At 42.1% G+C, this 16,175-nt stretch overlaps 1 protein-coding gene across 2 annotated transcripts in view, besides 2 other annotated features; it reads left to right on the top strand.

Moving 5' to 3' along the window:
• Positions 1–3,221, top strand: part of ILDR2 (immunoglobulin like domain containing receptor 2) — a 79,845-nt gene extending 76,624 nt beyond the window's left edge. The window contains exon 11 of one of the 2 annotated variants that reach the window (NR_199384.1): positions 2,487–3,221. The gene's annotated coding sequence lies outside the window, so the exon portion shown is untranslated. The remainder of the gene's footprint in view (positions 1–2,486) is intronic. The other variant, NR_199383.1, reaches the window with a different exon arrangement.
• Positions 14,202–14,701: an enhancer, noted in NCBI's record as "H3K4me1 hESC enhancer chr1:166853453-166853952 (GRCh37/hg19 assembly coordinates)". NCBI's record gives its function as "activates a minimal SCP1, AML or CMV promoter by ChIP-STARR-seq in primed H9 embryonic stem cells {active_cell/tissue: H9 hESC(primed)}" and the evidence as "EXISTENCE:reporter gene assay evidence [ECO:0000049][PMID:30033119]".
• Positions 14,702–15,203: an enhancer, noted in NCBI's record as "H3K4me1 hESC enhancer chr1:166852951-166853452 (GRCh37/hg19 assembly coordinates)". NCBI's record gives its function as "activates a minimal SCP1, AML or CMV promoter by ChIP-STARR-seq in primed H9 embryonic stem cells {active_cell/tissue: H9 hESC(primed)}" and the evidence as "EXISTENCE:reporter gene assay evidence [ECO:0000049][PMID:30033119]".

Genomic DNA, 16,175 nt, shown 5'->3' with positions numbered 1-16,175 from the left:
GGCTAATTTCTTTTTTTTTTTTTAAGATGGGATCTTCCTATGTTGCTCAGGCTGGTCTTTGAGCTCCTGGCTTCAAGCAATCTACCACTTTGGCCTCCCAAAGTGCTGAGATTACAGGTGTCAGCTACTGCATCTGGCCTCCTTTTTGTCTTTGTTTCCTTAACACTAAGTACATACTAGGGACCCAAATATTTGTTAGGAAAAAAAATGAATGTCTTTGGCATTAAGAAAAGTAAATGATCTCATCATGTCATATCATGTACAAGTGATAAGAGAAATAATATGCAAAGCTTCAGAGTGTGCCCTCCTTATCCAGAAGAGGTGGAAAGATTGTCAGATGAAACACTGGTGAGAGCAGAAGCTACATTACACACCAGGTAGGGAGGGTGTGCTTTGAGCCACCTGGTTATCCAGCCATTCTGGACCTTTGGCTGGACACAGGCTGGAAGAGTTCTGGGAGCTACTTTGGGCCAGGGTGGGAAGACCACAAAGAGAAAAGAATAGCTTTGGGGTGGAGTTTTGGTAGAAAAGACAAAGACACAGAATGATCTGCAGAGTCCGAGGAAAGTGGATGTGGGGATCAAGGGGCTTTAGAGAACCCTGAGGCAGAAATATTTCTATTTCAACATCCTGTATGTGGAACACTTCTAAGTCTTTGTCTCCAGCCTGGACTCTCTCCTGAATTCCACCTGCACTGCTTCCTAGACATCTCAACCCTGAAGACCATAGACTCCTCAAAAACAACAGGCATGATACCAAATTCGTGCCCCAACTAGACTTCATTTCCTATGGGTGTCTTACACTGTTTAATCTAGAAACTGTGGAGTCATTGTCAACTTGTTTTCTTTCATTGTGCAGTGCAACCCTGATGCTAGCTACCCAGAATGAGTTCAAATGTCACAGGTTAAGGGCACATTCCATCACAAGACTGCCCTTACCTCAGATGCCAGCTGCAAGCTCAAGGGTTCCCAGGCCACCTGCACTTTTGACCAACTGGCTACAAATTTTGGAGTTTCCCATGATTACTTCAGGTTTAATAATTTATTAGAACAACTTATGGAACTCAGGGAAACATTATGCTTCCAATTACAATTTTATTATCAAGGTACAAATCAGGGCTAGCCAAAAGAAAGATGCATAGAACAAAGCCTGGGGAGGTCCCAAATGTGAAGTTTCTCTGTCCTCAGAATGTGTCACTCTTCCAGGACATTGATGTATATTACCAACGAGGAGGCTCACCTGAGCACTGTTGTCCAGAGTTTTTATTGGAGTGTCATTAAGTAGGCATGATTGATTGAACTATTGTCCATGTGATTGAACTCAATCTCCAAGTCCCCACTCCTCCCCTCCCTAAGGTTGGGAGGTCCAGTCGGTTTCACTTGGCTCAAAACTCCAAACTTTTAATCACATAGTTAATCTTACTGGCATGGCCAGCCCCCATCCTGAAATCATCTAGGGGCACACCATGAATCACCTCATTAGCATAAATTAGGGGTGGTCCAGGAAGCCCAGCATAAGTAACAAAGACACTCCTGTCACTCAGGAAATCCCAAAGTTTAGAGTTTACCTCCCCGGAACCAGAGATAAAGACCAGCAAAATTATTTAATATACAACACACACCCACAGCCAACCCATTACCAAGCCACGCCAACTTCCCCTCCTAAATATCTTTTAAATACAGCTCCTCTGTTCCATCTCTACTGACACTGTGTAGGTCTATATTAGCTCTAATGTGGACTATAGCAATAGCCTCTTAACTGGTCACCTTACTGCTAGTTGTATTTTCCCACCAAGTCATCCTTTACTCTGCTATCAGAGTTGCTATTCTAAAGCCCCAACATGATCATATTCTTGTCCTGCACAAAAACTCTCAATGGTTCCCAATTGCGTATAGCAGCAATGTGCAATAGAAACATAATGTAAGCTGCATATGTAATTTCAAAGTTTCTGGGAGCCTAATTTTTTTAAAGTAAAAAAAGTAGGCTGGGCATGGTGGCTCACACCTGTAATCCCAGCACTTTGGGAGGCTGAGGTGGGTGGACCGCCTGAGGTCAGGAGTTCAAGACCAGCCTGGCCAACATAGTGAAACCCCATCTCTACTAAAAATAAAAAGTTAGCTGGGTGTGGTGACATGTGCCTGTAATCCCAGCTACTGAGGAGGCTGAGGCAGGAGAATCACTTGAACCTGGGAGGCGGAGGTTGCAGTGAGCCAAAATCGTGCCATTGCACTCCAGCCTGGGCAACAAGAGTGAGAATCTGTCTCAAAAAAAAAAAAAAAAAGTAGATGAAGTTAATTTTAGTAATATAATTTATTTGATCCAAAATTTCTAAAATATCATTTCAACATGAGATATATATATATATATATATCTGTTTCCATTTTTGACTTTACATGAACAGAATTAAAAAAAATTAAAATTCTTCCGCTTAGTTGTAGAAGCCACATTTTACCTACTTGAGAGCCACTGACTGTCTTGTTCAATAGCACAAGCCTACAGTACAAAGAAAACTTCCAGCTTGTGGCATCCAACTCCTTCACATGCTGACTCCTGTCCACCTGTATCCCATCTCCTGCCATCCCATACCTCCTGCCAACAGCAGCAGCACCAGCACCTTCTCTGGCCACACCAAACCATCTGCTCTTCCTCCAAATAGACCATTCTATTTCTCACTTCTACACCTTTGTCCATGCTGACTTGTCTGCCTTAAAAGTTCCTTCTCTCAGTAACAGAGCCAGAAAAAGTGACATATATTGTTGAGCATTGATGGAGTTCAGGACGTGCTACTTTAAAATATGGTACCTTGGCATTTCAGAAAACAGCAGAAGCAGAAGCTACCCTCACCTCCCCATCACTTGTCTGCCCTGAAGCAGGACATAAGACCCTCATTTGAGAGGTGCCCTTCCTTATCTCTGAAGACAAAGGAACATTCTTATCTCTGAAGACATAGGAACATCGAGAAGAATGGAGTATGCTTATCTATGAAGACATGAGAACACAGAGAAGAATCTGAACAAACGGGGCTTGCTAAGTTCCCTGCAGTTTATCGGCATTAGATTATACAATTTTGTCCTCCCTTTGTATTTCTCTATGACTGTCCATGATTCATCAAACCTAAACATAATAATATACAAGTCTACTTGTTTCTTTGGGTCTTCATTTCCAAAGCCTCCCATGTTCATAAATATATTAAATAAATGTATATGCTTTTCTCTTGTAAACCTGTCTTTCATTATAGGGGCCTCGGCCATAAACTTAAGATGGGAAGAAAAGATATTCTTTCATCCCCTACAGCATTAAGGCCTGATTTTGCCTCCTCAGTGAAGATATCTCAGGCATTCCAGACTGAGGTTCCTCTAAGCCTCTGCACTTCTGTGGTGCTTTAATACCTCTTTTGGAGTAAAGTATATTTTCTGCATCAAAGATTGCAACACATGATGTGACACCTCTATTGACAACTAGGCAGACTATTGAAAATAAAGGAAAAATGGTTTTTGCAATTATAGTACTTATCATATGATATTGAAATTGTGTTTGTACATGCCTGAGTGGCGAGCTTCTCAAGGACACAGTTTCTCACCTTTGTATCCCCAGTTCTAGTTCAATGCCTGGTGGCTGTTAGCTCCTTCCCCACTTATTAGATTAAACAGGACAAATCTCTCCCCGTGCATATAGCAAATACTCCTGGGACAGGAAGTTCATGAATCAACTGTGTACGCTGCTTCTTCTTTCCCTTAACCTTCACTGCATTTTGCTTTATTAAAACATTCCTAGAATGTTTATTCCTATTCAAGGTATACATAATCAATGACAATAAAAACTGTTACCAATTGTATAGGGGTTTACGTTCTGATTTAGACTAAGAAGACAAAATATAAAGGACGGAGGGAGAGACATCTTACAATTAGAAGGAAGAACCTGGCCAGCAGGGAGGTTTTTTGTTGGAGTTGCTGAAAGCATACCTCGTGTATACGCAGGTACTGCTGGGTACAAGATTAAGTCGTTTCAGAAAGAAACCATAGTACAGCTACTTTGGAAGTCAGTTTGGCAGTTTCCTACAAGATTAAGCATACTCTTACCATATGATCTAGCAATCACATTCTTTGGCATTTACTCAAATGAGTTGAAAACGTGTCCACACAAAAATCTGCACCCAAATGTTTATAGAAGCTTTATTGCCAAAATTTGCAAGTAACAAAGATACCCTTCAGTAGGTAAATGGATAAATTGTGGGATATCCAGACAAAGGAATATTACTCAATGCTAAAAACAAATTAGTTATCAAGTCATGAAAAGATGTGGAGGGAATTTAAATGCATATTACTAAGTGAAAGAAGCCAATCTGAAAAGGGCTATATACTGTAGGTTCCCAACTATATGACATTCTGGAAAAGGCAAAACTATGGAGACAGGAAAAAGATCAGTGGTTGCCAGGGGTTAGTGGGGAGGAAGGGGTGATAGGTGGAACACAGAGGATGTTTAGGACAGTGAAAGTATTCTGTATTAAACTTTAATGGTGAATACATGTCATTATACATTTGTCAAAACTCATAGAACATACATCAAGAGGGAAGCCTAATGTAAACTATGAACTTTGAGGGATAATGATACATCAGTGTTGGTTCACTGTAACAATGAATCACTCTAACAGGGGATGTTGATAGTGAGGGAGCTTATGTGTATGTAGGGGGAAGGGGATACATGTGAAATCTATACTTTCTGCTCAATTTTGCTGTGAACCCCAAATTGTTCTAGAAATAAATTGTATTAAAAAAATCAATGCCATTGAATGAGGAAAATATCTGTTCATGAGCTTCTGTGGTGCTTGAGGAAAAAGTAGTTTCCTACATTCTCCATGGCTCAGAAGCCTCCCTGAATCCCAAGATGGGTGAGGTAGGTACTCCCTGCACCTGCCACCCCCCAATTCACACATTTGCCATTCATCTTCTCTGCTAGACTGTGAGCCCCTTGAGGGCAAGGACTGTGTTCGGTTTTGGTGCTGCACCTTCATTGTCTGGTGCAAGGCCTGGCACCTATTAATGCACATGTGCTCAATCAGCGAATCAGGGTGTGGACAGCTAGCTAGCTGTCCTAAAGCATGCTGACTCCAGCCATACCTCTGGACACTTCATAGTACAGTTCTGCAGGAAATCAGTGGTGCCTGATGCTACAAGTGGCATTTTCTCCAGGGAAGATGGGGCAATTTCTTCCTGTGGTATGTTGGGCTGCGCTTGAGACCCCATCTGAAAAGGACAGTTTCTGTTTCTGTAAACAGCATAAAAATGGAGAATGTAAAAACACTATGATGGAGTTCTTGGTGGACAGAAATCTCTGTAGATGAGGAAAATAACATATCAGCCATGGGGAAACTGATGGAGATTTGGGCGGATCTTGTTTCAGGCCCAACTCCTTCCCTTACCTACTGACTGAAGGTGCACAAGTCACCAATCTCTGCAAGCCTGTTCTTGATGAACGGAATGAGAAAGCACTTGGGTTGGATGATCTTAATGCTCTCTTTTACTTTTGTGATTTAACAAAGCCCCACAGCAAATGAATTATTTTTAGCCTTGGTTGTCTAGGTGAAGCAATTCAGCAGCTGTCTCTTGTATGCTTTCATTTATTACCTTGTTTAAAATAGTTATTGTTTACAGTAATTTTTATTTCATTATGGTGCTGGGATTTTCAGTTGCTCCTCTCTAGATCTACTGCATGCTGTGCTCTGCAGACTGCCTCTTTTGTGCTTCCTTGCCATTTCAGTTTGGCCAGTGGAAAGTACTGGAAGGAGATCAGTGGGCAGGAGGAGAGAGAGGCCAGGGTATTTCTTCTCCATTCCTTCCCTGCCATACTAGTTTCCTGGGACTGTCATAACAAATTGCCGTGAACTGGGTAGCTTAAAGTAACTGAAATTTATTCTCTCACAGTTTTGGAGACCAGAAGTCCAAAATCAAGGTGCCAACAGGGCTAGCTCCTCTTGAAGGCTCTTAGAGAACATCCCTCGCACACCTCTTCCCTAGCTTCTCATGGCTGCTGGCAATCCTTGGCATTCCGTGGTTTGTAGACACATTACTCCAATCTCTGCCTTTATGTTCACATGACTTTTCACCTTGTATCTTTCTGTGTCTCAAATCTCCTCCTTTCTCTTATAAGGACACAAGTAGTTGGTGTCCACCCTAAATGCAGGAGGACCCGTTAAGCCCATCCAAAATCCAGGATGATCTCATCTTGAAATCCTTAAATACAATTGCAAAGACCCTATTTCCAAATAAGGTGAAATTTACAGGTACCAAGGGTAAGGACTTGGACATATCTTTTGGGGGCCACAATTTAATCCACTACATCTGTCCTGATGTCATCTCTCTGATGAAAGCAGAGACATCTAGAGGAGTGATATATCTTCCATAATTCAATTCTCATGAGTAACACTCTTCTCTTTGTCCCTTTTGCCCTAGGAATAGTAATAGTTTCCCTTTATTAGCTAGACTCTGAGTGTCACAGAGACCCTGTGATAAGAGATTAAATTGTTAAGCATGCTTCTAGTCAAAAATAATAGGCTGGGCACAGTGGCTCATGCCTGTAATCCCAGCAATTTGGGAGGCCAAGGCGGTGGATCACCTGAGGTCAGGAGTTTGAGGCCAGCCTGACCAACATCTCTACTAAAAATACAAAAATTAGCCAGGCATGGTGGTGCATGCCTGTAATCCCAGCTACTCAGGAGCCTGAGGCAGGAGAATCACTTGAACCTGGGAGGCAGAGGTTGCAGTGAGCCCAGATCACGCCATTGCACTCCAGCCTGGGTGACAGAGCGAGACTCCATCTCAAAAATGATAATAATAATAATAATAATAATAGTAATAGCATAAGAATAAATTTGTATTCCTGGAAAATAACTGACAAAAAGTGAAAGTGAGCCTGGACATAGAGTTCATAAAGATGAAGCTAGGCAGGAAGGTAGAGTGAATTTTATATTTTTCTTTGAAGAAGAATCATCTTATATTTGATTCACTTTTTCTGAGCATTTCTCAGAGTTCACTTGTTAGAATTTAGTGGGAAAATAAGAAGTAACAGTCATTGTGAGGTAAAGACTCTGAATTTAATGTCATATCAAAAAATAGGTCTAATATATAAGAATTATCTAGGATTTTTAAAAAAGCTCTTGATTTTGTACTTTAATATTGATATACTAAATTAGAATCCATAGATATGTTCTACATATCTTTACACCAAACTCTTAACACACAAGGGATTAATTTATGAATATTTGGAGTAAGACAGTCTTGGTTCGTGTTCCCCAAAAGGCATACCCTGAAATAAGGATTTGAGGAAAGTAGTTTATTGTAGAGAGTTTATTGGGAAAGTGAGACAGGGAAAGGAAGGACGTCAATAAAGAATACATCGTTAAGGCAGTTATCATTTCCTGCAACTGGAGCTCAATCCAGATGGGTGAATGTGGGAGGCTATATAGGAATGTCTCCTTCACCTGAGTTGAGAGGTGAGGAATCTGGACTAGTTATTCCTCAACTCCTTGCCCATCTTCAGTTGAGAACTGCTTCTGAGGGCATGACTCTCCAGAACTTCTGGCTTATCCTTTTTTGCCGGGCTGAAGAAAAGTCCTCAGGCAGAACTTTTGGATATTCATGGTGACAGCATTGGCTTATAGAGGTGAATGTGAGGGGGATATAAGTGGGACACTGGCAGCAGCTGCTCAAGAAATTTATGTCATTAAAGAAAAAGACAAAACCAAAAATACACACATCCTGGCAATGTGGCAAACTCTATTATATATCCCTAAATCTTCCTTCTGTCTCTGTCCTTGCCGTTGCTACATTGTGGGCAGAGTGTAATTCACCACCTCCATGACTCGTGTTGTCCAATGGAAGGTTAAGAGACATGATAATAGCAGATATTTTAAATGACCTGCATGCAGGAGGTTTCTTGTGACCTCCTGTGCCTCAGTCGTCTCTGCTTTTACTTAGAATTCCACTTTAGGGAATCAGTCCTACAAAAATACATGCATACAAAAATTAATTATGTAAAATTATGGTCATTGCAGAATTAATTGTAAAGGCCAAAAAAATAGAAATAACATTATAATATAAGAATGGGTAAATAAGTTACAGCATATTCTTACTGTAAAATTTTATGCAGTATGTCCTTAAATGGAAAGATGTGAATAATATAAAAATTTGGAAAAGCAAATTTCAGAACTATATATAATCCCCATTTTTTAACAACAGAGATGATAATTATGCATATTCAAAGATACATATTTGCATCTTTCTTATATACATATAGAAAAAACTGAATGTAAAATATATCTTTGGGCATTGCAGTTGAGGGAAGTAAAGGAAACCCCTGCTAATAGTTCTTTTAAATGTCATACATGAAACATGTATCAGATGAAAAAAAGAAATTTTTATTTCAATAGGTTTTTGGGGAGCAGGTGGTGTTTGGTTACATAAATAAGTTCTTTAGTGGGGTTTTCTGAGATTTTGCTGCACCCATCACCCTGACAGTATACACTGTACCCAATGTATGATCTTTTATCCGTCACCCACCTCCCCCACTTCCCATTCCCAAGTCCCCAAAATCCATTGTATCATTCTTATGCCTTTGCATCCTCATAGCTTGGCTCCCTTTAAGATGAAAAATTTGATGAGCCAAAGATACAAAATGAAAGTAAAAGGTTTTTTCCTTGTCTTCATACCAGTCTCCATACCACAGATAACTAATTTTGTAATTTATTCTAAAAACTCTTTTAATGCATATGTTCACACCATATATGTATCTGTCTGTTCTTATAAAAATGTTACATGTGGTACTGCAACTTGTTCTTTTGACTCTTGAGGTCACAGAACTACCTCAGTCTTTTCACAGAGGCATCCTTATTCCATCATACAGGTTTACTGTTATTTAGTTAACTTGCCCCCACTTATGAATACTGGGTGTTTCCAGTCTTTTGCTGTGGCAAAACAATGTAGCAATAAATATTCTTGTACATATATTTTGCTAAACATTTGCAACTATATCTATTGTGTAAATTTCTGCCAGAGGGATTACCAGTGAAAGGAGATGTGCATTTTAAATTCTGAAAGATATTGTCAAATTATCCTCCAGAAAGAACACACCAATGCACATTTCCACCAATGACTTAGGAAAGTGTTCATTTTCCCTTTAGGTTTGTCGCATTACGTGTCATTAAACATCTATATTTGCGAAAGAGGTGAAAAGAGTCTTATTTATTAATTGTTGTTTATTTGTATTTATTTAATTCGGAGAGACTAATTTGTCATTTGTTTTCTGACCACTTGTGTTCCTTTTTCTAAAAACATTAATAACCTTTGACTGTTTTCCTCCTGGTTTGGTCATCTTTTTCATACTGACTTGTAAAAGCTCTTTGATAATTGAGGAAGTTTAACTTTTTACCATTTGTTCTGCAAACACATTTTTCCAGTTTGCTATTAATCTTTTGACTGTTTATGACTTTTTTTTCCCATACAGCGTTTTGAAATGTTTATATGGTTGAACATGTTAATTTTGTTTCTTTTTGGCTTCCGGATTTTGTTCTTATTTAAAGCAGCCTTTCTCACCACAGATTATAAATTCTTTTGGAACTTTTATCATTTTTTTATGTTTAAATCATTGATCCAGCTGGAATTTATTTTGGTGGAGAGGAATGTTTACTTTTAACTTTGTAGGTATCTAAAATTGTTTGAGTTTTCTAAAATGAGCAAGTGTTCCTTCTGTAAAAGTGCCAGTAAATGAAAACAGATGAATGAAATGAAAAGATAAGGCATAATAACCCACAGGACAAAGCCTAGAGACAGAAAGACGAGGTAAGAGGTATTTTAATCATCTCAGTTGGGCTATTCATTCAATACATTGACCACCTATTATTTGTCAGGCCCAGTGCTAGATCCCAAAGACATAATAAGGGCCTGGATTGAGAAACGGACAATGGTAATGAGAATGAGGGGAAGAACTGATGGAAGTGTTTTAGCCCATAGAATGATCACCATGGCAACGGGAGCCTGAATCATCACTATGGAGACACAGTGCTTCAGATTATGACTAGAGGGATAGTGTGATTTTGTCAGTGAAAATTTTGAAAAAGGTAAACAGGTATGTTACAGATGTTTCAAAATGACACTATTACTTGCCAAATTGAAGTTAGTGCCTTGGTTTTTCCCACTGTTTGGGGAGACTAGAGACAAAATAATTCACAATTCACAAATAACATAGATTAAGACAAGCACAAGCTTTATTTGGTCATTTCTGCTCATGACTGCACCAGATAGGAACAGCCTTTCATTCAAAGATGTTAGCATCCAATATAACACACATCACATATGCGGCCCAGTGTCCTGGACCTCTGATCCCCAGGCTGCTTGGTTGTTTGGAGAGACTACTCATACATTTCTTCCCTGCAGCAACCATGAAGACCTCTGTCCAACACTTATAGCCCAAGAGAAACACATATATTTGGGAGTGAAACTTGGTTTTAATGGGGAATTTGATTAGGGATTGAATTATTTGATTATTGCCAATATGTGGCAAATGTGACTTCCTTAATGAGTACAGCTGAGGTTGCATTCATCATTATGTCCAAATAATAATGTCTCTTTGCCCCTCCATCTGCACGCAGAACTTCCAGCCTCACTTTCAGGGGCACTGAGAACTTCAGCAGTCGTGGCATCTGAAGGGGTTCACACAGGGTTTAGGCCAGTCTGTAACAGCACTGTGTTTCTGCCACTGCCTGGCTCTGGTCACTGCTCACGCCACTGCCAACCCTGTCCTGCAGTGTCCAGCCACCATGTAGGCTTAAACAAAGTGACTGCTTCTCTTTTATCTGTTCACCTTTAGGCTCTTCCCTAATTCCCTACGCACAACTGAAAGTAGATTGTCACATATTAGGTGTGAATTTTCTTTTTCTTTTCTTTTCTTTTTTTTTTTTTTTTTTTTTTTGAGGTGGAGTCTCACTCTGTCGCCCAGGCCAGGCTGGAGTGCAGTGGCGTGATCTCTGCTCACTGCAACCTCTGCCTCCCTGGTTCAAGCGATCCACCTGACTCAGCCTCCTGAGTAGCTGGGATTGCAGGCATGCGCCACCATGCCTGGCTAATTTTTTTTTTTTTTTTTTTTTAATAGAGACGGGGTTTCACCATGTTGGTCAGGCTGGTCTCGAACTCTTGACCTTGTGATCCACCTGCCTCGGCCTCCCAAAGTGGTGGGATTACAGGTGTGAGCCACGGCACCTAGCCAGGTGTGAATTTTCTTAAAGCGTCGGGATAGCCAAAGGGAAACTCATAGCTGGTTACCAGAGGAGACTGCTTTGGGGAACAAGGCCCAGGCTCAACCACCTCCATGTGAGTGAGGCCAGTTTATCTCCATCCTGGAATGCCCTCAACAAGAATCTATAACTTTTTATAAAATGATTCTGTAAAATTGGTTTCTGATTTGAGCCATAGCAAACATCTTGGAATTTGCCTCCTTTAATTCAGTGTACTTAATGTTTAGGCTCTCCAGGAATGTTTGGGGTTCCCAGCCCACAGGGGTCCTCTGCCCTGGCTGATGTGGTAGGTGTCCTGCATCTATCAGCCTGTCACATAGGTGCCCTATTGCTTATTAAATAAGGTTTAGGGGGAAAACTATGAGGAATGGTTGCGCATTAGAATCTCTGGAGGGCTTTGAAAAATAGTGATACCTGGATTCCATTCCCCAGACATTCTAGTTTAATCGTTCTGGGGAACGGCCAGAGCATGGAATTTCTAAAAATTCTCCCAAGTGATTCTAACACCGAAGTTGAGAACCATTGCTCTTATGAAAGCTATTGTAGGGTGAATTAAGTAGAAATAATCTGTTCAAGCAAGCAAATTCCAGTAATCTCCTTTGGTTATATCTGGCTCCAGAAATGATGGGCAGACACTGCATGTTTTCTGTAGTCCCCCTTGGGCTCTCCATAGCAACCAGATGGAATGGATTCCATTGCCCTGGCCTGGTTGGTTCCACAGTATCCCCTACCTAACATGGAAATTGTTGGAATAGACTAGACATTAATTTGTGTGGACATGTTAAGTGTTTCATAAATGTCTCCTAACATCATTATTATCTGTTGAGAAGCTGGCTCTGCTTGGCATTAGAACATACACAGACAGTTCCTTCTTTCCATTGTCCTCTTTTCTGCATATAGTGGAAAAGGTTGAGGCTCCTATTATTGGCATTCTGCAAAAACCTGCCATGCAGGCCTAAAGCAATACAAGTACTTTGAGGTTTGAGGCTACCCAGGAGTCCGTTATATCTAGCAGTGACCGCCATTACTATTTTGTATTGGGTAGTCATCCCTCAGGTTGAAATCACTGCCATGGAAGCAGCCAAATTTCATGACCCTGGTTTACACCAGCTGTCACCCTCTTCACAGGCAAATGGAACATCACAGGCTTCCAACAGATTCTAATAATGCAGAAGTAGCAAAGGGCACACTTCTGGAATTTTTTGTTTGAAGTTGCAAGCCCCGCAAATCCTACTAGGAAACAGAGCAAAGCCAGCTGGGTTAGGATCTACCATAAAGGTACAGTTCCACAAAGTCCATTTTAAATAACATATGGAAATTGCAGTAGTCCTAGTTTCATGTGGGTGAGACCTGCCTCATCTTCTTGAACTGGGGTCAACCATTCAGATACTATTTTCTAGGTTTGTACTCTACAAAACAATTGGTAACTTGGGGAAAGCAATAAACTCAGGTGTCATATATTTGTAATTAAAAAAGACAGGACTGGGTACAGTGGCTTACACCTGTAATCCCAGCGCTTTAGGAGGCTGAGATTGGCCAACTGCTTGAGCCTAGCAGTTCAAGACTACCCTGGGCAACACAGAAAGTCCCCTCATCTCTACAAAAGAAAAAAAAAGAACTGGGCATGGTGGTACACACCTGTAGTCCCAGCGGCTTGGGAGGCTGAGGTGAGAGGATCACTTGAGCCCAGGAGATCGAGGGCTGCAGTGAGCCATGATTGTGCCATTGTACTCCAGGCTGGGCAACAGAGCAAGATCCTGTCTCCAAAAAAAAAATCCATCTCTATAAAAAATAAAATTAACCAGGTGACAGATCAAGAGGAGAAGGAGGAGGAGGGGAAGGAGGGAGAGGAAGAAAAAGAAAACAAAAAAGATTATTCTGCCTAAATCTCTTACCTATCTGATGTGCATCTAGTGAGGACAGTGCAGCCTGTAGAGGGGGAGTCTCTCAAAATGTGGGTGCAGGGCATGCGTGAGCTCCATCCCCACAGTGTGCAGAAATCATGGAGCTGCAGGGAGGTGTAGTAGAATGTGGATGGTTGAAAGGATGGCATCAGCTACATTGGTTGGAGGGCATCAGGGAGTTTTCAGACCATTCCAGCTTGTCTCAGATGAAATCTTTAGGAAGAAATGGACAGGGGCACTCACACTAGAGTAAGCAGTAGAACATGGTAGCTAGAGTATGAGTTCTGGAATGGGGCTTACTGGGCTTATGTCCAGTTCTACTAGATGTGTAACTGTGGGCAATTTTCTTAACTCTCTATGATTTAGTTTATCTCCCTGTAAAATGGGAGTAACAATAGTAGTACCTACCTTGTGGGGGGTTGTGGCAAGGATTTTAAATCATCGCCAAAAAACATATTCAGTACAATGCTTGGCAGATATTAAGTGCTCACTGGAGTTAACATATTTTTGTGGTTATTGTGGCAAAATGGACTCTGGTGTCAGTGAGATCTAGGTTCCAGTCTTAACTCTGCCACTTCCTGTGTAACCTAGAGCAACTGAACTTTCCTGAGTCTCAGTTCCCTCACTTATGGCCTGGGGATAGCAGCAATTCAAACCTCACTGGATTATGGTTTGGGCTAAAGGAGGTAATGTAGTAGACCCACTTCGTAGCAGGGAGTTCGTACATATCAGCTGTTGTTATTTCCTAGAGCCTGATGAGAAAGAGCTCACAATGGGTTGCACTCTACTCTCTTCCTCACTCAGGACCCAAGGTGGGTGGTAGGGTGGGGGAGAGGGTAAACTCTACAGGTGGCCTCTGTATGCCCTGCCTTTACACTCAACTGCTGTCAGGCCCCTTTGGTCCGCAGCTCCCAGGTTGTCCCCAAATGTGACAATTCGTCAATTTCTTCCTGTAGGTAACAACCCTGCCTGTAATATGTCAATGATTTTGAGTCTATCCCTGCCGTTATTGGAGGGTCTGAAAGTGGCACCTTTGGACAACCAAGATATTTTATGAGTCCAAGGGGTAGGACTTCCCAGGGTCCGCAGAAGAAATGCTCAAGCGTCAGGTGGCCACCAGAGACCTGCTGCCGGTGGCCAAGGGTATCATCCCGGGCCAAGGCTCCAGGTTGGGACGCGGAGACCCACGACCCTCCTTGGGATCCCGGGCATCCTGGAGGAAAGGTGAGGGCGCATCACCCCCTGGCGGCAGCCGGGCAGACTCCAACCGGCCGAGGTGATGCTGCGCTCAGGGCCGTCTCTTCTTCCTCTAGCGAAGGCAAGCGGTGCTGCTGCAGAGACATTTCGCTCGCGCCGGGGCCAGCTCTGCATTCTCGCTTCGTTTCTCGGACAACAGCCGCTTTAGTGCTAAGAGCAGCACCGTGCCGCCCGCCCATCCCGACCCCAAAGCCAACTAATCCTCCCACACCCGCTTTCTGCAGGCGGCGGGGTTTTCCAGCTGAGAGGCCGTGAGCGCCTAGAGTTGGGTGACCACAGGGAGAGTCCTTCCTGAGGGACAAGGGCCACCCGCGCCGCCCGCGCCGCCAGAGCCGGTGAGTTCCTGAACCTGAGAGAACCTAGGACGCACCTGGGCAGGTGCCTGGGTGGCGGCCCTTGAGAGTCAACATAAGTCAACGAGGCCAAGACCGAACCAGCCGGCCTGAAAGTGCGCGATGTCCTTCCTGTCCTGAGTGAGTGGGCATTATCCAATCTGTTGAGGGCTTGACTAGAACAAAAAGAAAGAGGAAAGGCCAATTCTCTCTCTTGAGCTGAGACGTCGTCTCCTTCTGCTCACTGCCCATGGTCTGGGGCTTCCTGCTCCTTAGCCTTAGGAGTGCAGGACTTATAGCCGTGTCTTCACCTTCCCGCAGTCGCCTCCATTCCTCGGGCCTTTGGACTAGGACTGAATTATACCACCAGCTTTCCTGATTCTCTAGCTTGCAGATGGCAGATGGTGGGACTTCTTAGCTTCCATAATCTCATGAGCGATAATAAACACACACACACTTTTTTTCTATTGGTTCTGTTTCTTGGCAAACTGGGAATAGAGGGTGACTTTCCAAATGTACAACAAACATCATACTTCCTGGTGAAATGTGAGGAGTGCCATGAAAGCCAGGTGCTCTGCCAAGAGGCCCACCGTGAGTACCAATGCTCTGCACTGCAATGGAAGTTCTAGTCTTGAGCTGTTGAATACTGTTGCCACTAGTCACAGGTGGTTATTTAAATTTAAATTGAATTAAAAATTCAATTCCTGAGTCTCACTAACTGTATCTCAAGTGCTAAATAGCCATACATGGCTGCCGTATTGGAGAACCCAGCTCTAGGACATTTCTATCATTGTAGAAAGTTCTATTGGACAAAGCTGGTCTAGCCAATGCAAAAATCAAAAAATGAAAAAAGAGGCCTAAGAGTTGGAAAGAAAAAGGCAAGCTTTTCCTAATCTGTAGACAATATGATTGCCCAGATAGAATATCTAAGAAAAATCTGCCGGTAAACTATTAGAAATAATAAAGGAGTTTAGCAATGTCAGTATACACAAGATAGGCATAATAATAGCTATGACATATTGACTATTACTACACATCTGGCACTATGCCAAGGCTTTCATGTACTCTTACATGTTACAATAATTTAATTTTTACAAGAACCCTGAAGTAGCATTACTATCCCTACGCTGCAGATGTGGAAACTGAGGCAGAGTGATTAAGTAACTTGCTCAGAGTCACACAGCTAAATTAGAAGAAGCCAGGATTCAAGCCTCAGGCAAACTAGCTCTGTAGTTTGCACTTTAACACCATGCTATTTTGCCTCCATTGGATTCCGAAGTCCCAACAAATCAAATTAGACAACATAATAGGAGGCTGGGCATTGTGGCTTATGCCTGTAATCCCACCACTTAGGGAGCCCGAGGTGGGAGGATCGTTTGAGCCTAGGCGTTCAAGACT

Source organism: Homo sapiens, chromosome 1 (assembly GCF_000001405.40).
Source record: "Homo sapiens chromosome 1, GRCh38.p14 Primary Assembly".
Classification (NCBI taxonomy): Eukaryota; Metazoa; Chordata; class Mammalia; order Primates; family Hominidae; genus Homo; species Homo sapiens.
The sequence above is the reverse complement of the archived record's forward strand: the minus strand, read 5'-3'. Positions and strand labels throughout refer to the sequence as shown.